At 44.6% G+C, this 26,541-nt stretch overlaps 2 protein-coding genes and 1 long non-coding RNA gene across 12 annotated transcripts in view, besides 7 other annotated features; 1 reads left to right on the top strand and 2 right to left on the bottom strand.

The window, feature by feature from the left end:
- Nucleotides 1-1,305, bottom strand: part of NCMAP (non-compact myelin associated protein) — a 53,242-nt gene extending 51,937 nt beyond the window's left edge. The window contains exon 1 of the mRNA NM_001010980.5: nt 1,223-1,305. The gene's annotated coding sequence lies outside the window, so the exon portion shown is untranslated. The remainder of the gene's footprint in view (nt 1-1,222) is intronic.
- A 62-nt stretch (nt 1,306-1,367) lies between these two features.
- On the top strand, nt 1,368-18,118 carry NCMAP-DT (NCMAP divergent transcript). Its single transcript, NR_109781.1, has 3 exons — nt 1,368-1,576; nt 5,344-5,504; nt 17,516-18,118. It is a non-coding gene; the product is annotated as an NCMAP divergent transcript (long non-coding RNA).
- Nucleotides 16,039-16,333: an enhancer, noted in NCBI's record as "tiled region #2491; HepG2 Activating DNase matched - State 5:Enh". NCBI's record gives its function as "activates a minimal TATA promoter and a strong SV40 promoter by Sharpr-MPRA in HepG2 cells {active_cell/tissue: HepG2}" and the evidence as "EXISTENCE:reporter gene assay evidence [ECO:0000049][PMID:27701403]".
- The window catches only part of RCAN3 (RCAN family member 3), a 38,697-nt gene continuing 28,507 nt past the window's right edge, over nt 16,352-26,541 (bottom strand). For 5 of the 10 annotated variants that reach the window (NM_001251979.2, NM_001251984.2, NM_013441.4 and 2 more), the window contains 3 exons: nt 26,001-26,174; nt 24,138-24,309; nt 16,352-22,299 (listed from right to left, as the gene is read on the bottom strand). In NM_001251979.2, the coding sequence (NP_001238908.1) occupies nt 22,115-22,299; nt 24,138-24,309; nt 26,001-26,174 (531 nt within the window). In that variant the 3' untranslated portion in view covers nt 16,352-22,114. The remainder of the gene's footprint in view (nt 22,300-24,137; nt 24,310-26,000; nt 26,175-26,541) is intronic. The other 5 variants (NM_001251978.1, NM_001251980.1, NM_001251981.2 and 2 more) reach the window with 5 other exon arrangements.
- Nucleotides 20,760-21,409: an enhancer, noted in NCBI's record as "H3K4me1 hESC enhancer chr1:24862473-24863122 (GRCh37/hg19 assembly coordinates)". NCBI's record gives its function as "activates a minimal SCP1, AML or CMV promoter by ChIP-STARR-seq in naive H9 embryonic stem cells {active_cell/tissue: H9 hESC(naive)}" and the evidence as "EXISTENCE:reporter gene assay evidence [ECO:0000049][PMID:30033119]".
- Nucleotides 20,844-20,933: an enhancer, noted in NCBI's record as "active region_404". NCBI's record gives its function as "activates an Ori minimal core promoter by ATAC-STARR-seq in GM12878 lymphoblastoid cells {active_cell/tissue: GM12878}" and the evidence as "EXISTENCE:reporter gene assay evidence [ECO:0000049][PMID:35858748]".
- Nucleotides 21,410-22,061: an enhancer, noted in NCBI's record as "H3K4me1 hESC enhancer chr1:24861821-24862472 (GRCh37/hg19 assembly coordinates)". NCBI's record gives its function as "activates a minimal SCP1, AML or CMV promoter by ChIP-STARR-seq in naive H9 embryonic stem cells {active_cell/tissue: H9 hESC(naive)}" and the evidence as "EXISTENCE:reporter gene assay evidence [ECO:0000049][PMID:30033119]".
- Nucleotides 21,410-22,095: a biological region, named in NCBI's record as "H3K4me1 hESC enhancer GRCh37_chr1:24861821-24862472".
- Nucleotides 22,036-22,095: an enhancer, noted in NCBI's record as "active region_403". NCBI's record gives its function as "activates an Ori minimal core promoter by ATAC-STARR-seq in GM12878 lymphoblastoid cells {active_cell/tissue: GM12878}" and the evidence as "EXISTENCE:reporter gene assay evidence [ECO:0000049][PMID:35858748]".
- Nucleotides 22,712-23,363: an enhancer, noted in NCBI's record as "H3K4me1 hESC enhancer chr1:24860519-24861170 (GRCh37/hg19 assembly coordinates)". NCBI's record gives its function as "activates a minimal SCP1, AML or CMV promoter by ChIP-STARR-seq in primed H9 embryonic stem cells {active_cell/tissue: H9 hESC(primed)}" and the evidence as "EXISTENCE:reporter gene assay evidence [ECO:0000049][PMID:30033119]".

Raw genomic sequence — 26,541 nt, 5'->3', positions numbered from 1 at the left:
CACATACACACATGCACCATAAGAGGGGGTGCCTATAATCTGTTGCTCTTGGCTTCTGCTTATAACTGTTCCATCCACCTAGACCACTGTCTCTAGTATCCATACCCACCTCTTAGAACCAGCCATCTGTAAATTCACTATTTGTGCCAAGCATTGTACTTCATATGCATTCATTCATTCATTGGACAAATATGTATTGAGACCTACTGCATGCTGGGCACCGTGCTGGTGCTGGGGATACAAGGGTGAACCAAATAGGCATCATCCCTGCCCCCAAGCAGCTGCTAGCAGACATTAATAGCTCATGTTCATTGAGTGCCTACTATATACCCACCCTGTATTAAACACTTTATGAGTTATCTGATTTAATCTGTCAGAGAAATTGTTTCATTTAAGGAGCACATCAAACTGAAACATAGAGAAAAGTGTGGACTTGCCCGAGACTGTTGGACGGCCTTGGCTGAGGGGTAAAGCAGGGACTCCAAAGCGCTGCCCTAACCACCACCTTTCCTTTCCCTGCCCCACTCAGATGCCACCTCCTCCAAGGGGCCTTCCAGAATCTTCTCCCAGACTCAAGGGCTGCCTTGGTCTCTCTAATCCAGCCTTCATATTTGACACAGCCATCTCCTCCCACAAGGATACCCAGAGGACTGGAGCCGTCTCTGCATCCTTCCTCAGGAGCGCTGCTGGATGAGCGACCCCCGAGCCCCTCCAAACGTGCTGTGGATGGAAACTACGGCCCTGGGCTCCTTCTCTGCCGTGGGTTTTCATCTCGCTGAATCGCAGATCTTCCGGAGGGGCCTCTGCATAGGGCAGACCCATCAAGGCGCCCATTTAACAGATGGGGCGGATAAGGCCCCAAGTGGGTAAAAGTTCCTTTATCTCCAGGCCGGGTCAAGGTCGACTCCCTTTTCTTCCAGCGAGCCTCGGCCCCTCCGCCAGATGCTTGGGTGGGGAGGGGACAAGGAAACGACCTCGTCTCCAAGACCCACTGGAGATGATCAGCCTCCCTCCCACCACCCCGGACCAACGCCCTCCCGCGCAGACCCCAGGCACTTCCTCCAACAGATGTGGGGGTGAGACTGGGGACCCCTCGTCCCCACCCCCGGGCCCTCCTTCGCCCAGCGCGGCCGGCAGGTGGACAGGAAGCCACCGCACCTGGGCCGGACCGCTCCTCGCTCCCCGCAGCCCCGGGCAACCCCGGCGACCAGGCGCCTCCTACCTGCTCTGTCGAGCCCCGCTCGGCCTCCCGCCGGCACCGCCGCGCTCCCAGCCAGGGTCCCCGCCGCCGCCCGGCGCTGCCACCCTGGGATCCCGCCCCCGCCCGGGGCGTCCCGCCCCCGGCCCCGCCCCGTGCAGGTGATCCTGGGGAGGCCGGAGAACGCGCCGGGGGTGCCAGGGTCCCGCACACTGGAGTGGCGGCGCCTCCCCGTGGTGTCCCCGCTCCTGGGTCCTTTTTGGGACTGGCTCTGGCACTCCCGGGCACTCAGTCCAGTAGAGAAGTCCAGCAGGAGGCTTCCAGGTCGGACTCCTCCGCGGGGTAAAGAGAGGGAAAGGGCCTCACAAACACACCCAGGTGAGCTCCAGGCACTTTGAGTAGGGTCTTTAAAGGAGCACGGCGCTAATCTGATTGAAGGTTTTGAGGGGCAGCTGGAGATTCAGACAACCACAGAACGTTAGACCGGGAGGAAACAGGCTTGGCAGCCGGCAAGTGTCAAGAACTCTTGCCGCTGTAGGATCAAAGGCTCCTTCCTCCCCAGGCTGTCGAGATTCCAGCTGTATCCCAGGAGCCCAGGGCGATATCCCTGGCAGGCAGCGGGTACTCAATCAATATTTATAGAAAGCGGGAAGAGATCTCGGAGAGGGGATCTCTTCTCTCAGAAACAGGGAAGCTGAGGCCCAGGAAGCAAAGGTGAGCACAAAGTCTTATAGCAGGTTAGTAACAGTATCAGGAGTGGAGGCTGGTTTCCCGGTTCTATTTTCAATTGATTTCCAGAAAGTGATTGCATCTGGGCCGACTGCCTTGCCGCTCAGTGCCTGTGAGATGCTTTCAAACTCTCCTCAGCTAAGAACTAAGATTTTTATAGGAAGAAAACACGTATTTTTATAGGAAACTCCAAGGTAGTATTTATTTATTTATTTATCTTTGAGACAGGATCTCACTCTGCAGCCCAGGCTGGAGTGTGGTGGCACAATCTCGGCTTACTGCAACCTCTGCCTCCTGGTTCAAGCGATTCTCTTGGCTTAGCCTCCCGAGTAGCTGGGATTACAGGCACATGCCACCACACCCGGCTAATTTTTTTGTGTGTGTATGTATATATATATTTTGGTAGGGACAGGGTTTCACCATGTTGGCCAGGATGGTCTTCAACTCTTGACCTCAAGTGATCCACCAGCCTTGGCCTCTCAAAGTGCTGGATGAGCCACTGCTCCCAACCCATTTTATTTTATGGAGACTGGGTCTTGCTCTCCTGCCCCAGCTGGAGTGCAGTGGCGGGATTTCGGCTCACTGCAGCCTCTAACTCCTGGGCTCTAGCGATCCTCCCACCTTGGCCTCCCAAAGTACTGGAATTACAGGCATGAGCCACCATGCCCAGCTGCAAGGTGGTATTAACAAATATTGATTGAGAGTATAATCCTGTAATTCTACTTTCTCATCAAAGACTTGAGACACTTGAGTATGGTCTTTAAGGAGCATGGTGCTAATCCATGGCTTCAAGAGCTTCCCTGTTGTGGGGGAGGCAGACCTGGTTACAGGGAGAGGCCACAATGTGGGGAGAGGAGTCCAGTGGGAGCCTGCTCTGGCCCTGAGGCCTGAGTTCCACAGTAAATGGCACTGGGGGGGGCCACTTCAGGATGCTTCTGGAAGTTTTTCCAGGTTTGTTTGTGGGGGCAAGAGCCCCCAGTGCATGGTCTCAGGTTCAAATCCTGGCTCCACTGCTTACTATTCGCAAGATGGGAGTAGTTTCTGAGACTGTTTCTTTCTGTAAAATGAAGAGAAGATACTTCAGTATAGTTGCGGTGAGGATTAGAAATGAGATCACACTTGTGAAGTGCCAGGTAAGTGGGAGAATGATTATGCCAAGTGGCAGGAGCTGGGAAGGGGGACTTTGATGTCTTAGGTCCTTCTCTGTGGGGTTTGGTAGTCTTCAGCCTTCTGTTATCTATGGCTCAAGCCCACCTTCTGCTTTGTCCCTTAATCCAGGCTGGCTAAGCCACAGGACACCTGCCCTGTCAGAATGAGTTTGTGCACACCGACAGTAAGGGGTTTGGGAAGGGAGCTCTTCCTTGCACCAGCCCTCCCATAACCAGGGTCAGAGACACCAGCCAAGCCCAGGAGGCAGAAGCATGAAAAGGCTCTTCATCGCGCTGCATATTCACTCATTAAGTGCTACAGAGTGTTCACTATAGGCCAGGCACTTTGCAAGGTGGGGCAGAGTCAGTGGTGGCCCCTCCCTGCCCTGTAGACCTCACCTTCCAGTGGGGCTGGGGTTGAAGGGACAGATGACCCAAGCACAAAAGATGGTAACAAAATAGTGAGACCATCTGAAAAGTTCTAAAGGAAATAATAATATGGTGTCATTGATTATTATGGGTGGGAGGGCAGGGGCTCCCACAGAAACCTATCTGCCAGGGGAGGACAGGGGAGCTGAGACCCAAAGGACAAGCAGGCAGGTGAGGAGGGGCTGGAGCTGGGGCCGGGGAGCACTCTAGAAGGGAGCAGGGTGGGATAGGGTGGGGGAAGCAGCAGGTTGGTTTGTGCAAAGATCCTAAGGCCAGTATAGCAACCAAAGCCAGGGGTGGTTTCAGGGAGAGTGGACAGAATGAGGTCAGAGGCAGGCAGAGATCAGATGCAAGGTCTTACAGGTCAGAGTAAGGATTTTATTCCAAGGACTAGGGAAAACCATGGAGGGTTTCCCGTTGCAATTAAGGAAAGCAACAGGCTGGGGGCGGTGGCACACGCCTGTAATCCCAGAACTTTGGGAGGCTGAGGCAGGAGAATCACTTGAGTCCAGGAGTTCAAGACTAACCTGGGCAACATGGCAAGGTCCCATCTCTACAAAACAAATTTTAAAAATTAGCCGGCCATGGTGGTGCATGGCTATAGTCCCAGCTGCTTGGGAGGCTGAGGTAGGAGGGTCACTTGGGCCTGGGAGGTAGAGACTGCAGTGAGCTGAGATCGCATCACTGCACTCCAGCCTGAGTGACAGAGCTAGACCCTTTCTCCAAAAAAAGAAAAAAAAAAAAAGGAGAAAGGGAAAAAAAAAGATTTTGAAAGCAATTTAATGGAATAAAAAAAAAGTGTGGTGATTTTTCATTTTTAAAATAAAGAGGATGTTTATATATAAATCAGTTTTATTAGTCAATGAAAATTGCTTATACAATTACCCAACATCCCAGCACTTTGGGAGGCCAAGGTGAGAGGATCACCTGAGGTCAGGAGTTCGAGACCAGCCTGACCAACATGGCAAAACCCTGTCTCTACTAAAAATACAAAAAAAAAAAAAAAAAAATAGCTGGGCGTGGTGGCGCACATCTGTGATCCCAGCTACTCGGGAGGCTGAGGCAGAAGAATCACTTGAACCCAGGAGGCAGAGGTTGCAGTGAGCCGAGATCACGTCGCTGCACTCCAGCCTGGGTGACAGAGCGAGACTCTATGTCAAAAAAAAGAAAAAATTACCCAACAAACCACTCCAGTTTCGGATGTTACCCTATGGAGTCTGAGGTGCTGGGGGATTTTAAAATAACAAAAAGCGGCTGCTTCCACGTGGAAAATACCCAGAGACAACCAGTTATCCTTCCTTTTCTTATTAGCAGAAGATGTAACTACAAACTAGCCTTTGAGCGGCTGTGTTTTCATCTCCTGGCCAGGCATGTCCAGTCTTTCATGTCTCCCCTCAAAGCCTTAATCTGCTGTTTATGGCTTTTGAGATGGTTGCTGGGGAAACCAGCCAAATGTCATGTGGGATTAGAATGCAATTTCAGGGGAGGAGACGAAGCACAGAGAATCATGAGTCCAGAGAAACCCAAGTCCACATTGTTTAATCTAGTACAGAGAGAGAGAGGGAGAGAGAGAGGGAGAGGAGGCAAACATACCTAGGCCAATTGATTTTGAAACAATTCCCTGTTTTTCAACTAAGTAGGCAGAGAGTAGAGGGAGCAGCAAAGGCCGCAAGACACAGGCCAAGGTTCTAAATGACCTACAGGGCTCGTAGTGCAGTGTGTCATGTGGCTGATCCCAGATGGACATGTGCTGGGCGGACGTGAAGTGCAGGGGAGGACCAGAGCCCCTTCCCAAGCGCTGCTGTCCTGCATGTGGTCTAATTCCCATCTTACCTCTAGGAGCATCTGGCGATGGAGGATGAGAAGACAAGAGAATGACGGGGGCAGGGTCAGGGGTCTAATCTCCTTGCGAGCCACCTGATCTCCCCGGGCCTCTGTTTTCTCATCTGTGAAATGACGGGTTGGACGGCCTTGTCTCTGAGGCCTCATCCAGTTCCACGGTAAGTCTGATAATCGTGAGTGTGCCTTTAAACAGCCAGCCCAGGTCATTACCTGACAGCTTCCTCATTTTTTATGCTACATTTTTAGGAATGTGCGTTAGCGCAAACCATTTGTTGGTAATTACAAGGGAAAAACTTCTCAGAATGAAAATAGGAAGCTGTAAATTAATTTAAGTCCTTCTGCCATCAGCGGAAGCCACGCCTCCTCACCTTGGCAAGGAACCTGTGCTCTCCTGGTGGCAGTCAGCCCATTCGCAGCTATCTCAGCTGCTGAGTCCTCCTCCCCTGGTACCTCCTTGGTCTATCCTACTATCACAGTCACCCTAGGAATCCCAGAGTGAGAGCAGAAAAAACACACACCGAGAGAAGACGCAATCTAATGGCTACTCCGTTTACTTGCTGTGTGACTTCAGGCAGGTCTCCTAACCTCTCTGGACATGAGTTTCCTCTTCTATAATTCATTCATTCAGTGAATATTTACCAATAGCCTGCTGTGTGCCAGTGATGAATAAAAGAGATGACAATTCCTGCTCTGATGAAGCATGCATTCTGATGGGAGAAAAACAACAAAAATGAAGAAGCCAGGCTGGGTGCCGTGGCTCATACCTGTAATCCTAGCACTTCGGGAGGCTGAGGAGGGTGGGTCACTCAAGTCCAGGAGTTCAAGACCAGACTGGGCAACATGGAGAGACCCTGCCTCTACAAAACATACAAAAATTAGACTGACGTAGTGACACACGCCTGTAGTCCTGGCTACTCAGGAGGCTGAGGTGGGAGGATCACTTGAGCCTGGGAGTTTGAGGCTGCAGTGACCTGTGATTGTGCCACTGCCCTCCAGCCTGCGTGACAGAGTGAGACCCTGTCTCAAATAAATAAATAAACAAGCCAATGATATGGCATGTTGGAAAGTAATAAGTGCTTTGGAGAAAAATAAAGGGAAGCTGGGATAGTGATATCTGCCTACCCCAAAAGGCGTGGAGCATGAATGAGTTTATAACCTTACTTTCAAAGAGTAGGCCAGGCATGATGGCTCACGCCTGTAATCCCAGCACTTAGGGAGGTCGAGGCTGGCGGATCACTTGAACCCAGGAGTCTGAGATCAGCCTAGGCAACATAGTGAAACCCCGTCTCTACTAAAAATACAAAAATTAGACAGGCATGGTGGCGGGTGCCTGTCATCCCAGCTACTCAGGAGGCTGAGGCAGGAGAATCGCTTGAACTTGGGAGGTGGAGGCTGCAGTGAGCGGAGATTACAACACTGCACTCCAGCATGGGCGACAGAGCGAGACTCTGTCTCAAAAACAACAACAACAACACGCACATGCACACGCACAAAGAGTAATTACTCTTGATATTTGCATACACCCTTGTGCAAATATCAAGATTAATTATAGTATTATAGATGGACATTGTGTTAAATGAAAGCATTTACAGTAATTCTAAAGGCCCAGGAAATGGGGTAATCCAGGGAGTGAGAAACCAAGTTTGGGTGAACTCGGACATCCCCCAGCCCTGGGTGTCTCAGTCCTGGTGGTCCCTCAGAATCCCTTGGGGACTTTGGAAAACTCTGCTAAGGTTGCACTTTACAGCCATAGAGCTAGAGGCTCTGCAGTGAGGCCAGACCAGTCATGGGTTTTTATGAGGTGCCCAGGTGATGCTAATGTGTGACCAGGGTTGGGAGCCACTGAGGAGCCCAAGATCATAGAGAGGGAATGACTTGCTCAAGGGCTGGCACCCAAAGTGCTGGGATTAGAGGCGTGAGCCACTGCGCCTGGCCATTTATACTTACTTTTAATTGCATACAGATTAAGGGATGGTTTATGAAGAAATTTCTAGGAAAAGAGTAGTAACTTCTGGGTTTTTGGGTCATTGCCATGGAAAGGGGAGGTAACTCCTGGATGTTGGGTTAGCTGACATGGAACACTGGTGGGTGCATCTCATGGAAAGCTGCTTCTGCCCTGTCCTTATTTTAACTACTCCTCAGTTTGATTCAGCATCCAAGTCCCCCTCCAGAGTCTAGTCCCACCTTCTACCTCATGGCTACTGTTAATGATCCAAAAGGATCCCAGTTATGAAAGATAATAATATGTCAACGTGATGGAAACCCAGTCTATCCTGTCCTCTGCTCTGGTCATTTGCCTTAGGAGGTAGATTCCTCACCTCAGTTCCTTTCAGGAGAACAGTGGGGGCTTTGAGGCTGGTTTAAGATAAATAAAAAGAAAGAAAGCAAAAAGCCAAAAGGAGCCAATGGGCCATCTCTGGCAATTAAAAATCTCTGATCACATGACCAGGTGCAGTGGCTCACGCCTGTAATCCTAGCACTTTTGGAAGCTGAGTGGGTGGATCACTTGAGGTCAGGAGTTTGAGAGCAGGCTGGCCAACATGGTGAAACCCCATCTCTACTAAAAATACAAAGATTAGCTGGGCATAGTGACATATGCCTGTAATCCCAGCTACTTGGGAGGCTGAAGCATGAGAATCGCTTGGACCCGGGAGACAAAGGTTGCAGTGAGCCGAGATTGCATCACTGCACTCCAGCCTGGGTGATAGAGCGAGACCCTGTCTCAAAAACAAACAAACAAAAAAACCACTGTGATCAGGTTTGTCTAACAAATAATCAAATGATCACAATTACAAAAAACAAAACACAATTTCTGAAAAAATATCTGGCATTTGGAAAACCACTGTCCTGCTTTTAGAAAGTTCTTCCTGAGCTGTAGGATTGAGTTTTATTAAACTTATTCTATGGGGACTGGAAGTTACTTTTTCTGGGATATACAGGTGTTCGCTCAGTTAGACACATGCGTGAGTTCATTTGAGTGAACACTTCCTGAGAGCTTAAGTGGGCAAGGCACTGAGCTGGGCTCTGCGAGAGACACAGAGGCTGCGTTCTCTGCTTTTTTCTTATGTGTTCGTTCCCTTACCGGACCTCTCTCCTCCCCATCATGCCAGGTTCCTCATTCTTCCATGTGTTTTACCATCCACTGTGAAATTTCCCCTGTACGTTTTCTACTTCCTAAACTATGTGAAAACTACATTTTTAAACACAGAATTCCTTCCAGTGATTTTTTTTTTTTTTTTTTTTTTGAGACAGAGTCTTGCTCTGTCATCCAGGCTGGAGTGCAATAGCACGATCTCAGCTCACTGCAACCTCCACCTCCTGGGTTCCAGCAATTCTCATGCCTCAACCTCCCGAGTAGCTGGGATTACAAGTGGCTGCCACCATGCCCAGCTAGTTTTTGTATTTTTAGTAGAGAAGGGGTTTCAACATGTTGGCCAGGCTGGTCTCGAACTCCTAACCTCAGGTGATTTGCCTGCCTCAGCCTCCTCCCAAAGTGCAGGGATTACAGATGTGAGCCACTGCACCCGGCATCGTTTATTTATAAAGTCAGAAAATCTAAATAAAAACATGTTATGAAATTATTTCCTTTCTTGGATCTTTAGGTGCTTAAATAGGGAAATGGCACAAAACCAAAATATAAGTGGCTAACCCTATTAAAAATTTAGAGTAATGATAAAATACTGTTCTTTATGTATACTGGCATGTATGATATGTCTCTTCTTATGACGTGGAAGACTGGGATAATTGTGTTGTTTCACATTCAACATCAAGATCATAAGGAAGCTCTGTGGTAAATATCATAAAAACTCTCTGTCTGAAACTCTCTATACCAGAACTTACTTTGGGTACATTTATCAAACATGCTTAAAATCTACTTCTCGTATCTTGCCTGGAGTCAGAATTGAGTGGTGAAAAAAATGAAGACCAGATAAAAATCAGTGCTTACTTATTAGGTCTCTAAACTCGGACTAATTCACCAATGAATAAAATACTCTCCCCTTTTGGTCTTTATAAAGTTTCTTGAGATATTGAAGTTTACTGTGATTGAAGTTCACTGTGATAGCTATTTTATTTTTGTTTGCCCTGCTTTCATTTCCCTTTCTTGGGTAAAAGCCTTGCCCATCTGGCCTCAGGGATGGGCAGGCAACCCAATCTGGCCAATGAGAATCCCACTGCAATATGGAATCATAGAAAGAAGCTCTCCTTCCACCTGAGTTGTTGGTTACCATGTTCTCTGCTGCGAGCGGACATCCTTTTTGCAGTAAGAAGGAATTTGGTGGACACACAAAGAGAGGTAGAGACAAAGACAGCTGAGAGATGAAGAAAGAGTCCTTACCCTATGCCCTTCTAAGCTCTTAACAGAAGCATTTAGAGCTATACATTTTCCTCTCTACTTTAGCCCCCTTTTTCTCCTACTACATTGTACCAGGCTGGTCTATGACCAATACCATATGGCAGAAGTGATGGTCTGTCATTTCTGAGATTAGGTTATAAAAAGACTTCATCTTGGGCTCTCTCTCTTTCTCTCTCTCTGATCACTCGCTCGGGGGAAGCCAGCATCCATGTCCTGTGAGCAGGCTTCTGGAGAGGCCCCTGTGGCGAGGAACTGAAGCCTCCTGCCAACAGCCATGTGAGTGAGCAGGGAAGCAGACTGTCCAGCTGAAACAGGAAATTCCCCTTGACCTCTTTGTGAGCCTTGCGACAGGGGTGCCTCACTTACTTATCCCACAGCTCTCAACCCCTCGTGGGATGGGGAGCACAGGTGAACAGGTGCAGGAGCTGGGGCAAGTGCTTTTGGGCACTGGTAGGAGCAAAACTCCCATGGCAGCATCTAGAGGGGAGTACCTGTGACCCCCCCCCCCAAGAGACTGGAGGAGTGTTACAGTGAACACTCTTTTTAAAAATTATTTATTTATTTATTTATTTATTTATTTATTTATTTTGAGACAAAGTCTCGCTCTCTCACCAGGCTGGAGTGCAGTGGTGTGATCTCTGCTCACTGCAACCTCTGCCTCCTGGGTTCAAGCGATTCTCCTACCTCAGCCTCCTGAGTAGCTGGGATTACAAGCGCACGCCACCACGCCCGGCTAATTTTTATATTTTTAGTAGAGACGGGGTTTCACCATGTTGGCCAGGATGGTCTCGATCTCTTGACCTCGTGATCTGCCTGCCTCAGCCTCCCAAAGTGCTGGGATTACAGGCGTGAGCCACCGCACCCGGCCTACAGTGAACACTCTTTTAGCTTCTGCCGTTCACAGACGGCTTAAGTGTTAAACAGCTCAGTGGGCCCTCTCTCCACCTTTTCACGTGAGGTGGTTGCTTTCCACCAGCGAGGGCAGAGGGTCAGTGTGACAGCCTTCCGTATCCCAGGCTCTTGTCTGGATCCAGAAAAAAATCAGGTCACATGAACAAATTGAAGGATAGTAAATGCGGGGGATTTTATTGCTGCCAGAAGCGGCTCTCAGATGGAAGGAAAGCTGGAAAGGGGATGGAGCGGGGAGGTGGTCTTCCCCTGAAGTCTGGCCATCTCCAATCGGACTTTTCTCCAAAGTCCCACTGTCAAGCCGTCCCTCTGAAGTCAAGCTGCTTCTCTCTGACATCCGGCTGCTTCTTCTCTTCTCCCCTTCTCTGCTCTCTGCCAGTGGAGCCTGGGGTTTTTATGGGTACAGGATGGGGATTGGGTGGGCCAGGGGTGGTTTTGGAAAGGGCAACATTTGAATGGGAATACAGGGATTTTCTAAGTTTGGGCCATGTTTCCAGGCTTGAGGGTGGAGCTTTGCCAGGGTCCCTGTCCTTTTCAGCCTAGAATTTCTCTGCCTCCTGTCCTTATCACAGCCTTGCTGATGACTTGATGGCAACCTCTGAGAGACCCTGAGCCACCACTGTCCAGCTTAGCCACTCCCAGATTCCTGATCCTCAGAAACTGTGAGATAATGTTTTCTTGTTTTAGGCTGCTAAATTTTGGGATAATGTGTTGTGCAGCAATAGATAAGTAATACACCCCTTAATGGATTTTTATTAAACCTGCAGTTTAACTGTCTCCTTTTTCTCTAGCATGAACAACTAGTTAACTTCTCTCCGGGAAAACACACCTTAAAGTGTTCAATTCATATAATTGGACACATCTAGAGACAGGAACTAAGCAGGAGGGTAGCTCTGTGCCCTTTCACAATAGAAGTCATTAGTATACAGTATCTAGGATTAGCAGGATGCCCAAGGGCTGCTTCTCATTTGCAAAGGAGACAAATCTCCATTCTAGACTTTCCAACAGTTGTTAGAAATATCTAATGGGATAGAATAAATAGCCTGCCAAGTAACTGAAGTTATCAAGGAAATAAGTCAGAGGAGGCTAGTCCATTTAGTCCATAAAAGACCTTTCATTCACAGGGCTTACTCAGGCAATTTCTGAGAAATCATTTTTGGTTTAATTTCCTCCTTTGGGGGAAGGAGCCTGGTCAAATCTCTCAGGACAGAATACTGTATAATTTCCCATCAAAGATCTCAATTATTCAAAAGATATTTAAGAAAGATAGCACCAGGCCGCGAATTAACCTGATTACTTCTTTGAACCAAAAGGAAATGGTGAATCTAGAGTCAAACCACATGCAACGCTCTTCATTTGTAGCTCAGAGAAGAATGAATGATACAGTATATTTTTTTCCATCCATATGGGAGTACATTTAATAAAGAATTTTCATCTACATAATGTAGTAAAGTAAAAAAGAATCTGTTAACCCTTTAAAGTCTATCAAAAGGTGATATAAAGTCTCATAGTAAATCAGACTTATTATCCTTAATCAATTATCCTGCAATTATCCTTGATCAGTGTGCAATTATCTTGCACATTATCCTTGATCTGTGCAAGATGCCTCTTATGTTTGGAGATATATGTTTAATGTGTATCTTTTTATTTATATGTATTCTTGCAAAGTGCATTACTGTCTTTGTGCAGTACTTCACATAATGCAAATGTTAGATACATCTTCCTCCTTTTGGCACTCAGCTGTTTTCAAGATATATCCATGTGGCTGTGTATATGGCTACTCTTGCTGCATGGTTCTCCATAGTGTTCATTTTCCAGTTGCAAATACCAGTTTGTCTCCATAAATAATGGTGCAATGAACATCCTCAACATAGCTCTTTATGGCCCTGTGTGAGAATCCCTTTGGGATATTCTTGGGACATCTCTCTCTCTGTCTCATCTATCTCCAGGAGCAGAACTGCAGAGTCAGAGGTTTTGTTCTTACTTAGATGACCAAGGACTGCCAGTTTGTTCTTCAGAATGACTAAACTAGTCTATACTTCCACCAGTTTTATATCAGATTTCCTATATGCCCTCCCTCTGGCTATACTTGGCATTAATTGCTTTTACATTTTTGAGAATCCAATAGGTATAAATGGCATCTTGTCATTTTAATTTGCACTTTATCTGATTACTAGGTTTTAGTATTTCTTCATAGGCTCATTGTTTTCCTTTTCTGTCAATTACTTTTCATATCCTGTAGCCTATTTTTCTATTGGGCTGCTTTTCCTTGTCAATTTGCAGAATCTCTTTGCATTTTATAGTTATTTCCCCTGTGTTAGTGTCAGAGGTGTTCAAACCAGGGTGACTCCATCTTGAATAGGGGCTCAGTAAAATGAGGCTGAGACCTACTGGACTGCATTCCTAGGAGGTTAGGTGTACTTAGTCACAGGATATTTACAGTTAAGGGTACAAGTTAATAATGTTAATGTTAATGGGAAATAATAGACCCAGGAAATGTCCTGATGTCCCAATATCTTAAGAACAAAAGCATTTTTAGTTTAAGAATATGTTTCGCTTTAAAGATAATAATATAGATGCTTGTGGAAGACAGCAGTTACGCAAAGATTAACAGTCCTTTGTCACAAACCTTTGTAGTAGAGCACATCTCCGCCATGATTTTTGCTTTATCTTATATATAAACAAGCATTGTATCTTAGGCAGGCACGTTCCCCCTTGTGCTTTTGGGAACGCCCTACTCTGTTTATGGAGTATCTATTCTTTCACTCCTTTACTTTACTTTCTTTTCTTTTCTTTTACTTGAGACACAGTTTCACTCTGTCATCCAGGCTGGAGTGCAGTGGCACAATCTCGGCTCACTGCAACCTCCGCCTCCTGGGTTCAAGCGATTCTCCTGTCTCAGCCTCCCAGGTAGCTGGGACTACAGGTGCGCACCACCACGCCTGGCTAATTTTTGTATTTTTAGTAGAGACGGAGTTTCATCATGTTGGCCAGGCTGGTCTCGAACTCCTGATCTCAAATGATCCACCTGCCTCAGCTTCCCAAAGTGCTAGGATTACAGGCGTGAGCCACCATGCCTGGCCCATTCCTTTACTTTCTTAATAAACTTGCTTTTACTCAGCTAGGCACGGTGGCTCACGCCTGTAATCCCAGCACTTTGGGAGGCTGAGGTGGGTGGATCACCTGAGGTCCAGAGTGCGAGACCAGCCTGACCAACATGGAGAAACCCCGTCTGTACTAAAAATACAAAATTAGCCGGGCGTGGTGGTGTATGCCTGTAATCCTAGCTATTCGGGGGGGCTGAGCAGGAGAATCGCTTGAACCTGGGAGGCGGAGGTTGCAGTGAGCCGAGATCACACCATTGCACTCCAGCCTTGGCAACAAGAGTGAAACTCCGTCTCAAAAAAATAAAAATAAATAAAATAAACTTGCTTTCGCTCTACTCTGTGGACTCATTCCGAATTCTTTCTTGCATGAGATCTAAAAATGCCCTGTAGGGGTCTGGATCAGGGCCCTTTCCGGTAACATCAGGACTGCAAATATTTCTCCCTATTGTGTGAACATTTTCATGGCATTCTTCATTGAACATGAATCATTGATTTTGATGTAACCAATTAGAATTCTTACCTTATAGCTTATGCTTTTAAAGTTTTATGAAGTCTCTCCCTGCCTCTAGGTCACAATGATATTCTCCCACAATTTGTTCTATTAGTAATTTTACATTCTAGATTTAGGTCTTTAACTTTTAATTTTCAGCATTTAACTTTTCCAAACATTTCGGACCACAAACTTTTCCCAAGTAACTTACTTTGAAATACCTTACTGAAATATCTAATCTACAAATTGCTTACATTTATACTTTCTATGTCTCAGAAGACCCGGGGAAGCTTGGCAAGATGAGATCTTTCCTGTGTGTGCAAGAATTTTAATCTTTTCTTCTTCTAGATTAGAACATTTTAATGTGTTCATTGAGGGCAGGAACATAGTGGTGGCTCACTCCTGCCCTTTAAACATACTTCTCAGTGATAATAGGACTCTGATACATCTGATACATACATTGTATGCGTTTAACTTGAAGCCAGTCTATTAGGTAAATTACTTAAATCTTGATTCTTGTATTTCCTACTCTGCATTAAAAATTTTGTTTTTGGCCGGGTGCAGTGGCTCGTGCCTGTAATCCCAGCACTTTGGGAGGCTGAGGTGGATGGATCACCTGAGGTCAGGAGTTCAAGACCAGCCTGGCCAACATGGTGAAACTTGTTTCTACTAAAAATACAAAAATTAGCCAGGCATGATGGCGTGCGCCTGCAGTCCCAGTTACTCGAGAGGCTGAGGCAGGAGAATTGCTTGAACCCGGGAGGCAGAGGCTGCAGTGAGGTGAGATTGCGCCACTGCACTCCAGCCTAGGCAACAGATTGAAACTTGGTCTCAGAAAAAAAATTTGTTTGTGTGTGTGTTTTGTCCTAGGTTCTTTGCAGTGGTTTTCCAATTTTCTGTTTTAGCCAAGGAATCCTTAGCTCAAGTGGAAAACATGCTAGGACCTTTAGGTATAGCAAATAATAGGAGAGTTGAAGCAGGAGTGAAAGGCCCCAGGAACCTGGAAGCATGGCGCCCCCTGGAGGCAGCCCCACAGAACACAGCTTGGAAAAACTTCAAAGTGGAAATGTCCTCAGCGACTCCGCTTTAGTTTTTTAAAAACAAAAAAGGCCAGGTTCGGTGGCTCATGCCTGTAATCTCAGCACTTTGGGAGGCCAAGGCAAGTGGACCGCCTGAGATCAGGAATTAGAGACCAGCCTGGGCAACATAGGGAAACCCTGTCTCCACAGAAAATACAAAAATTAGCCGGGTGTGGTGGTGCACACTTGTCATCCTAGCTACTTCGGAGACTGAGTTGGGAGGTTGGGGCTGCAGTGAACTGTGTTCATGCCACTGCACTCCAGCCTAGGCGACAGAGCAAGACCTTGTCTCAAAAACAAAACAATATCAAGAACCTTTTTATCCAGATACATTTATCCAGAAAAATTAGATTTTGGTGTAACAAAGTAGTGGAGTGTGGTAGAAAGAATGTCAAGAAATGGGTTCTAGTCCCAGGTCCATGACCATCCAGATGTGTGCATTTGGCAATGCCTCTGGGGCCACTTTCTTGTAAAGGTGTGTTGGGGGTGGGGTTGGGATGGAGGAGGAAGTGGAGGGAGGCAGGGGCAATAGAGGGGTGTGTCTGGGTCTGTTCTGCTGAGCTCTCACAGGGGTTGAACTCAGGTCCCCATTCTTCCCCCAGCCCCTTGAAAAGGAGCAGCTTTGTTTACCTTTCCTTTTTGTAATAGTTTTACATTGGCTTTGTGTAAGATTTCATTTGAACAAAGAGCAGAGTCCTATGGCTTAAAAATAAGTATTCGAAATCCCACTGCACTAGATAACCTCTACTGTCATTTATAGTTCCACATTTTGGAGATTTTTTTTTTTTAACCGAGACAAAAAGTAAGTCTTTACCCGGAATAAATCATTTTTAACCAAAGGGGAAACCAGGGTAAAAGGTTTCTTGGGGAAGAGCTGAAAGTGCAGTGGTTATTTACAGAGTGAGCAGTGACTCACCACCTTGAACTCTGGCACTGCACGGCATTAATGTTCAACAGGACTCTTGTGAAAGGAACAAACACAATATTGCACTTCTCTGTCTTATTAGCTAAATGTAAGTGATGCGTATTGAAAATACTACACACAAAAAAACTCAACTCAATGGACTGATTTAAAAATAGTTACTAACTTTATTTGTATTCGTTTTAAAAACAGAACTTGTTACAGGTAATCACGAAGCTTCCAAAAAAAAATTACATTCTGCTTTTGTCATCTTGATAGGACAAGGAATGTTTAGATGTCCTTAAAACACAGGGTAAAGTTGACAAATAACAAACTACTACAAACTATGGATTGTCACTTCAAGCACACTAAAATGTGGAATACATGTACATAAATTACTGACCAGTTTTTTGCAATACAAAGAGTATGCACTACAGCTTATATACCATAAAGGTAACATGCCCCAAAATATAACAGAAGATCACAAACACGTTCGGAGAAAATAATAACTTTGACTCTTGGGTTCAATTAAGATTGAAGTGAAATGATTGGGAAAGTTTTCTGAAACTTGAAGGGCACGCACATTATAGCAGAACCGTCAATCAACAATCACGTGGGGTTGAAAAGCAGCAAGAAGAATATGGCACGGTAACAGGGGTAACCACCTTTCTCTCTCCTCAGTCCCCAATTTGAGTTAGGAAGATTGAGGACTAAACAGAAAACAGTATTTAAAAACATGTATTATCTGCATAGATAGAAATCTTCCATTACGATGAGAGTGAACATTCGGTCAAAGCTATGCAGGAGTGCCAAGAGTCTGCAGGATATGATTCTGTTTCAAAAGGAAATATATAGGTTTACATCCAGACAGACCACATAACGAATTTAGTGAAAGATCTTTACGCTGTTATTTAAGTGGGTAGAGACGCTGACTCAGCCCCAGGTTAGTTCTTGACCTTGGCTAAAAACTCTACTTTGAACGTGATGATTTTTATAATCTTTGTCAGTGAACCCAGCAGTTGTTGCTTTCAGTTGTCTTATGGATTGTACATTTGGTAATAAGAAAACAGTCTCCAAATGATTAACATTTTCCCCTGATTCACAATGAAACAACGGCATTCTGACGAAGATGATCCATACACCGAGGGGAGTTTAAAAGACAAATAAGTATTCAGCGAATTGTAGGACAAGGTTCATAAATCTTTTAAAACTTTTTAAATAGTGAGTTTCTGTAACATGGACTTACAGCTCCAGCTAGGAAGCAACTATTGCCCCATCTTTTGTTCCTTTATATTGTCACCCCAATTATAAATAATTTGTTTCTTTTAGTACAGGAAGATATAAATGCAAATGTGCAAAAAAAGGAAGAAGGAAAGATGGACCAAGTTCACCTGTTTGGTACGTACAGGGTCCACAGCTCTGCAGAAAGGGGAGAAACCTGGTAGACAGAGGGCCTGACGCACCATAGCATTGAGCACATTTTCCACTGCTTAATTATGTGTGAGATTTTCCCTTTTAAAATAAATCTATGGTCTGTGAAATAGTCTGTATAAAAATATGAAGCCTTGAATAGGCCAGTCATAGCAGTTCCGTCTTGAATAGAACTCAATTTTACAAGCACGGAGTGAGAGTATCATTCCACTGCAAACTCTTTTATTTCCACAACATATTAGATCTCATTCTGCTTTAGTAGAGTTACCTCTTAAGTACGACTATTAGTCATTTCATTAATATGAAAATCTGGGAAGGCCCACATAAAATACCAACATAATTGCTGGCTACCAAGATAAAATTATTTAGGCAGATTCCAGCCCCAATGGTTCAATGATAACAAAACTACAAAACATGGGACATCAAATTCATTAATAAAATTATTAAGTCACCTCTTCCATCGAATGATGAGATTTTTCTTATTCACTGTTTCCCATCAGGGAAAAAAGAATCCTCCCACCTCATGCCTTTTTTTTTTTCTGATGCCAGGAATTAGTATTCATTGCCTCTTTAAGAGGCCAATGCAAAAAAAGGTAGAAAAAGCCCTAGCCCAGGAGTTGGGATTGCCAGTTGTAGTCCCTGGGTTGCCTTGCTGGGGGTGCCTAAGTCAGTGCCATAACCTCAGTTTTTCTAATCTGTGTAACATGGGGATAGAGTATATGATTTCCAAGGTCACTTTCACCTCTGTGATTGAGCCTCTAAGAAAGCCAAATCTTTTCACTTTGTAATCATGACATTTTTAAAAGATGGAGTTAATATGAATGGGAAACTTTTTTTTTTTTGAGCCAGGGACTTGCTATGTTGCCCAGGCTGGTCTTGAACTCCTGAACTCAAGTGATCCTCTCACCTCAGCCTCTCAAATAGCTGAGACTACAGGCACACACCACTGCACCTGGCTAAAGACTATATTCTTAAAGAATAAAAGTACTGCACTTCACCTCTATCTCCTGGTATCTCTTCAATTCAAACACACCATTAATGACTACAATATTTTATTTAAGGCCGGGCGCAGTGGCTCACGCCTGGTTAATCCCAGCACTTTGGGAGGCCAAGGCAGGCGGATCACTAGGTCAGGAGATCGAGACCATCCTGGCTAACGTGGTGAAACCCCGTCTCTACTTATAAAAAAAAAAAAAAAAAAAATTAGCCGGGCGTGGGAGCGGGCGCCTGTAGTCCCAGCTACTTGGGAGGCTGAGGCAGGAGAATGGCGTGAACCCGGGAGGCGGAGCTTGCAGTGAGCCGAGATCACGCGGCTGCGCTCCAGCCTGGGCGACAGAGTGAGACTCTGTCTCAAAATAAATAAATAAATAAATAAAAATAAAAAATAAAAAATATTTTATTTAAACCTTTATGTTGAACTTAAAAGTTCCTTGAAGCTTTGCTTTGGCTCTTAATTACTGGTATGTTTTTGAGTACAACATTTTGAAGAAGCAGAATGTGAAAAGACTAATTTGCTTTCCAGCTGAGTTTTAGTTCTCGAAGGCAATGGAACTGTTGCTATCCACTTCTGCCTCTTAGTACCTTAAACCTCAGAGATGCTCACTGGAACACTTTTTACATGGATTTGTCTTTGGTTTCATCAGGTGAGTGTGCTACAAAAATCTAGAACCTAAGAGCCAATGCAGCGTCGGTTCTGTGACTATCCTTGTTAAGTGTTACGGTTTTCTAATCCTTCACAAATGTTTTTTTCCCAACACAAAGCACCATTATCTTTCCTCACAATTTTCAACATAGTTTGATTCCCATGAAGAGGTTATGATTTCTAAAGAAAACATGGCTACTATACTATCAATCAGGGTTAAATCTTTTTTTTTTGAGACGGAGTTTCGCTCTTGTTGCCGAGGCTGGAGTGCGATGGCGTGATCTCGGCTCACCGCAACCTCCGTCTCCCGGTTCAGGAAATTCTCCTGCCTCAGCCTCCCAAGTAGCTGGGATTACAGGCATGTGCCACCATGCCAGGCTAATTTTGTATTTTTTAAGTAGAGACAGGATTTCACCATGTTGGTCAGGCTGGTCTTGAACTCCTGACCTCAGGTGGATCCACCCACCTTGGCCTCCCAAAGTGCTGGGATTATGGTGTGAGCCACCACACCTGGTCCTATCAGGGTTAAATCCAAGTAATAACTCAATTTCAAAAAAATTGCAGAAAAGCCTATTAAAAGAAAAAAAAAACCATGAGACTTATCTCTTGTAAATTTGTTACATGAACTAGATATTAAACAGCCAAAAAAGGACAGCGATGATAGTATCTGTTAAGATCCTGGTTCATTTCACAATATGAAAAAGTTGATGGGTACTTAGTAGCTTTTTTAAAAAAATTCATTTTATTATATTATACTAGAAAAATGAAAATATTAATACTTTCCATTCAGAAAAGCTTAAATGACTCGTCTCTAATTTTGGTTTAAAGTTTTCTTCAATTTATTCAAGGCTCTCAAAAAAAAAATAGAAAAGCACTGTAATTTGCACTGCTTGACTGTAAAATGTTTTATGTGTTAGGAATAGAATATTCTTTAATGGGCAGGCAGAGAATGAAAGCCAAGCCAAATAACAAAATCTCATGGGTTTTGATCACTTAGAAAATTACAGTGAATCAATATTACCTAAAAGGAAATTCAAAAAATTCCCAATTGTTGATAATACATGTCTCCTGGCATACAGGGTCCATCTTGCAGTAAAAAATGGGCACAATGCTGAGTTCAGAACTGCAGAGTAAATTTATTGGGTGGTTGTCGGTTAAAATGACAAATGATGATCTGAATTCAATACATTAAATTGCTGATAGAATTGCAAATTTCAACTGAATTTACATTGAGGCCTAGCAGTGGTAGTTGGCTACAACTGGAACAGTTTATCACCTCAGGGTATTTGAGGGCAAGGAAGATACAGAAAAAAAAAAAATTAGGGGTATGCAACACAGTTTAAGTGCTCAGAAATAAATTTTACCACAGTGAGAACGAAACCACAATGACATGTTACTAACACTGTGCAGACGTCATGGTTGAATGCCTGCGTTCTGTTCCTTCCTGGTGGCAGCCGCCTTGGTTCATTAGTTCTCATGTTTGCAGCTCCTTCACATGCCCCGGAGCTTCCCAAGTGTGCCACTCAAAGGAAACAGCACAGTGAGTGGAGGCCAGCAGACCCACCCGGCCCAAAACAGAGCCTTCTCAGTTATGAGACTTTTCTACAGAAGGGACTTCAAAGTCTAAACAGACCAGAGAGAGTTAAAAAGATCCTGCTGCTTCTTAGGGAAGTTCAAAGGTACATTCTGACACCTAAGTGGGAAACAATTCTGTTTTAGGAAAAGTGCCAACTGCAATCCGGGTACAAAATTTCAACAAAAAGAAAAGTAAAACTGAATGATCTCCCCCTCATTCCCTAATTCATAGAAAAATAGTAGGTGTGACTTTTGTTTCAAAGCAAGCTGAAAAATGGTTAAATGGACAATTTACAAATGGTCTTCAGAAAACCTTATCATTACCTTTTCTAGTTGAAAGTCCATGAATGACATACATAAACGTACACATCATAGCCAAAAAACTCAAGAACTAGTGGTTAACAAGATACTGGAAAAGGTGAAGGATAAAAACTGGTGAATGAAGGTAGCTGGGTGGTCTACAGGCTAGAACACGGTCACGAACGGCAGAATGCAGTAGCCACCTGCGATCCTAATCATTCAAGCTTACTGGTGATACGTCCCACTTCTAAAGTGGCCGTCCTTCCTGGGCAGCCATGTCTGGAGGGCGCCACATCAGGAATGAGGGCCTGTGCATTGCTTTGTCCCAAATTCCAGATAAGAGCAACATGTGGGTGGATCTGTGTCGTAAGACTCATCCTCAAAGTGGATTTGGCATTTCTTCCCCAAAGCTAATTGAACAAATACTTGAGAACCATGATTTCTATGAATTATTCTGTATTTCTGGTTTCTTTTCCTGCAAAAAATTTCATGTATACTGAGTAACAACCTTTGATCGATTTATTAATTAGAAGCTATTTATACCAGTAGAAAAATACCCACAAACAATTAAAATTATAAGACTATTTTTAAATTCATAAAAATGGTACTGTACTGGGTGTGACTACATTTCCAGTTTTTGGTGTCTCATGTGATACAGAATCAGGAGGACTTACATGGCTGGAGGGGAGGGGAGCTGTTTTCCTAATTTGTTACTATTTAAAAATGGTTAAGGGTGGCCACATCTTGGGGGCTTCTCCTTTAATGTAAAGTCCCTTTTGGAATATCACTTAAAATCTGGGACAGGTCAAATCAGCTGCTACTCTACACGACCGTGTCTGCAGTACAGGCGTGGTGAGAAGACCTATACCTCACTCGGCAGAGTCTCACCTATGCTGTTCGCAGCAACGCATCGGCCGCAGGCACAGAGCGCCATGGCCAGAGCCCACCAGGGCAGCCGCCTCGCACCACAACCAAGGGCCTCACAGCGCGCAATCAAAGGTCTGGGGCTCATTCAACGCTGCGGTCGGAGGGTCGGGGCGCCTCGTCTGGGCAATTTTCTGTTTGGGGTTTTTTGTCTCTTCTTCCTCTTCAGTTTCACTTTCACAGACATGAACCACCACGCTGGGTGTCGACTCTGTTCCCGCGTGAAGTTCATATTTCTCTCCTGCAGAGGCAAACAAAATAACCATGACAAAAGCATCACTTCCAGCAAAAAGAACTCTTTTGTCCCTTGCAACTTTTTGTTCTACTCCTATTTTAATGGGTGATTCTTGTTCTTTAAATCTTTAAATACTATGTTAGAGTATTTTATCTTGTTTTGGTGTTAAAGATTTGATACTTTAAGGCTTGTATAAAATGTTGTTTCAGTACTGAAGTCTTGGGAGTTAAAATGCAAATGCTAATTATTGTTTTATGAATAATATGAGTTAATCTGTTTAATTAATTAATTTATTTATTTGAGATGGAGTCTCGCTCTGTCGGCAGGCTGGAGTGCAGTGGCACGATCTCGGCTCACTCCAACTTCTGCCTCCCAGGTTCAAGCGATTCTCCTGCCTTAGCCTCCCGAGTAGTTGGGACTACAGGTGTGTGCCACCACGCCCAGCTAATTTTTGTATTTTCAGTCGAGATGGTTTTTTTTTTTCTTTTTTTTGAGATGGAGTCTTGCTCTGTCGCCCAGGCTGGAGTGCAGTGGTGCGACCTCGGCTCACTGCAAGCTCCGCCTCCCGGGTTCACGCCATTCTCCTGCCTCAGCCTCCCGAGTAGCTGGGACTACAGGCGCCCGCTATCACGCCCGGCTAATTTGTTTTTGTATTTTTAGTAGAGACGGGGTTTTATCATGTTGGCCAGGCTGGTCTCGATCTCCTGACCCCAGGTGATCTGCCTGTTTTGGCCTCCCAAAGTGCTGGGATTACAGGTGTGAGCCACCGCACCCAGCCAAGTGACTCTGACATCATAATGGTTTCAGTTTGGGAGATACTTGTAAGGATCCAGGCAGCATAGGCACTCCCTTGATTATAGGAACTTGGATATCTAAGACACAGCTCTAACGTCTAAAAACAGCACTGAATCACTTCTTCCTCAAAATGCCTCTTTTATTCCCCTACAAGAGACATAACTCTGTCTTGGGTGGACAACTGTCTGAACCAGCATCACATCGGTTTCTTATATGATTTTAAAAGGAAGAGAGGTAGAGAAAGTAAAGAGAAGGAAAAAGGAAATGAAAAAGAAATGACAAAAATATTGAAGGAGTGAGATGATATCACCACCAATTCCTTGTAATATATTCAAAGTAGTTGTTGTTTGTCTGATACTTGGTGGGGCTGGGGAGAGAAGGCACCTCATATTCACTAACTGCCTATCAAGTACTAGCAAAATCTGTAGTAGTAAAAATTAGTTACATTTACTGAGTATTATCTATACATCATTTAATACTTAATTTTTTATTTTTACTTTTTTGGAGACAGAGTCTTGCTTCATTGCCTAGGCTGGAGTACAGTGGTACGATCTCGGCTCACTGCATCCTCTGCCTCTTGGGTTCAAGCAATTCTCCTGCCTCAGCCTCCCAAGTAGCTGGGACTATAGGCGTACGCCACCATGCCTAGCTAATTTTTTATATTTTAGTAGAGACGGGGTTTCCCCATGTTGGCCAGGTTGGTCTCGAACTCCTGACCTCAAGCAATCCGCCCACCCTAGCCTCCCAAAGTGCTAGGATTACAGGCGTGGGCCACCACACCTGGCCCTCATTTAGTACTTATAACCACACTGAATGGTGCATATGATTCTCCCTGCTTTATAGATGGAAAAGCAGAAGCTCAGAAAATGGAGGCTAAGTAACTTGTTCAAGATCACAGAGCAAGCAGATGCCACAGCTGGAATCTGAACCCAGGTGTGTTTGACTTTATCCTCTGCTCTAATCATACTGCCACAATGCACACTGCTGAATACGATCTTCAATACAAAAGTTTCTTGGGGAAGAAAATAGGAAAAATAGAAGTTTATTACCTGGTCCCAATTTGGAAACAGCACAGAGTAAATCATAATTTATAACAGGCATCGCATCTTCGCTCTGCTTCCACCCCACCGGGGGAGAGGCTGGAGGGGAGATGAGGAACTGCTTGACAGGCTGGGGCGGCAGGAGATAGGACTTGTCCCGCACTTCGCCGGACATCTGCACCTGCAGGGAGCGAGACGCTCAAAGCCAGTTTGCAAACCGGGCTATGTTTTCTTCATTTTCACCTTTATGTTGACTGTTCCATCTTTTTGTAGAAAATTAAACATTTCTTTTTTTTTTTTTTTTTTTTTTTTTTTGAGACGGAGTCTCACTTTGTCGCCCAGGCTGGAGTGCAGTGGTCCAATCTCAGCTCACTGCAAACTCCACCTCCCGGGTTCACATTCTCCTGCCTCAGCCTCCCGAGTAGCTGGGACTACAGGTGCATGTCACCACGCCCGGCTAATTTTGTTTTCATATTTTTAGTAGAGACGGGGTTGCACTGTGTTAGCCAGGATGGTCTCGATCTCCTGACTTCATCATCCGCCCACCTTGGCCTCCCAAAGTGCTGGGATTACAGGTGTGAGCCACCGTGCCTGGCCTATTTCTTGTAAACAGTCTATAATCTCCAAAAGGGTGGGACTGGGTCTGTTTGGCTCACCACTGGCCACTCAGTGTACAGCACATGGCCACACACAGTAGGTGCTTCATGAATATTAACTGCATAAAAAATAAATGGATGGGCCAGGTGTGGTGGCTCACACCTGTAATCCCAGCACTTTGGGAGGCCGAGGCGGGTGGGTCACCTGAGGTCAGGAGTTTGAGATCAGCCTGGCCAACATGGTGAAACTCTATCTCTACTAAAAATACAAAAATTAGCTAGGTGTGGTGGCATATGCCTGTAGTCCCAGCTACTTGGGAGGCGGAGGCGGGAGAATCACTTGAACCTGGGAGGCGGAGGTTGTGGTGAGCTGAGATTGCATCACTGCACTCCAGCCTGGGTGACAGAGTGAGACTCCATCTCAAAAAATAAAAAAATAAAAATAATAAATAAATAAATAAATGGATGAAGAGAGAAATGAACGACAGCAACTACTAAATTCCAATCTTAGAAGACATTAGGTTATATGGACTTATTTGTACTCCATCTCAAGAGACTCTACCAAGAAACGTCAAGACATCTCTTTCATTTAGGTTTTTACGTGGAAGGCAAGAAAACAAACCTTTTTTTTTTAATTTGTAAGGGAGACTGAAAAAAATGTTTTGAAAATAAAACAGTGCATTTAATACACGAGTAATCTCCTGATTTTGCCCACTCTTCTCAGAAGAAATTGGTTTCTCAGAGAGTCACACCAATGCAGGATTAGAATATACTAAGCGTAGCCAATTTTTGGTACCCTACAGGGTCCTCTGCAATTTCAAAGTCGAAGACAGCCCTTTTGTACAGTTCCGTGACCTCCCTGGTTCCTCATATGAATTATGGAAATGATTTAAGAGACCATTTTCTCAGTTTTCCCAAGGATTTCATGTCTTATTTCATGTATACCATTCTAGATGCACAGGAGAGAAGTTAGTTTCCGAACACTAGGGTGTCAGGGCGTAACCCACGCAGAGTCCCAGTTGAGCAAAGCTGCCAGAAAAATCAACTCCTTCAACTACTAGTCTCAGCAAAACAACTTAGGAGGTAAATGTGCTTAATAAATACACGAAATTATGTATCTATAAAATAAAGGGAAAATATTTTTGTATTATTTGCTGATTGAGATGGTTCACTCTACACACCTCTGCTATAATAATATAGAAAACGGTGAAATAAAAATATTTTTGGATGGAGAAAAACAAGTTTAGAGAACAGTGTTCTCTGCACGGTGAAGTACCTGTGCAAAATATAGCTTTAGCTTCTGCCCATTGAAGTCTGTTTCGTGGAGTTCTATTCGCGCTCTTGCTGCCGCTTCAGGTTTGCTGAAATTTATTCTGACTCTTCTAAAGCTTTTAAACAGCTGAAAAGTAACCTGGTCATCATAGATGGTGAAGAGTGCTTCAAATCTTTCCTACAATTAAGGAGCAGCAAGGCAAAGGGAAGGGGAGGAAAAAAAAAAAAGAAAAACCTTTAACAGAAGGGGAAATTTAAATCATGAAACCTAATTAAGAACTCATTATAAGTTAACCTTTTCTCCAAAAAAAGTATACTTTTCTTGCACATATACAAGAACAGGTATCCTGTAATTTAGCAATTACACTTACTTTATGTATTTGTTTGAGACGGAGTCTCATTCTGTTATCCAGGCTAGAGTGCAGTGGTGTGATCTCAGCTCACTGCAACCTCCACCTCTTGGATTCAAGTGATTTTCCTGCCTCAGCCTCCAAAGTAGCTGGGATTATAGGGGCCGGCCACCATGCCCGGCTAATTTTTACATT

This window comes from Homo sapiens, chromosome 1 (genome assembly GCF_000001405.40).
Source record: "Homo sapiens chromosome 1, GRCh38.p14 Primary Assembly".
In the NCBI taxonomy this organism is placed as follows: domain Eukaryota; kingdom Metazoa; phylum Chordata; class Mammalia; order Primates; family Hominidae; genus Homo; species Homo sapiens.
The sequence above is the reverse complement of the archived record's forward strand: the minus strand, read 5'-3'. Positions and strand labels throughout refer to the sequence as shown.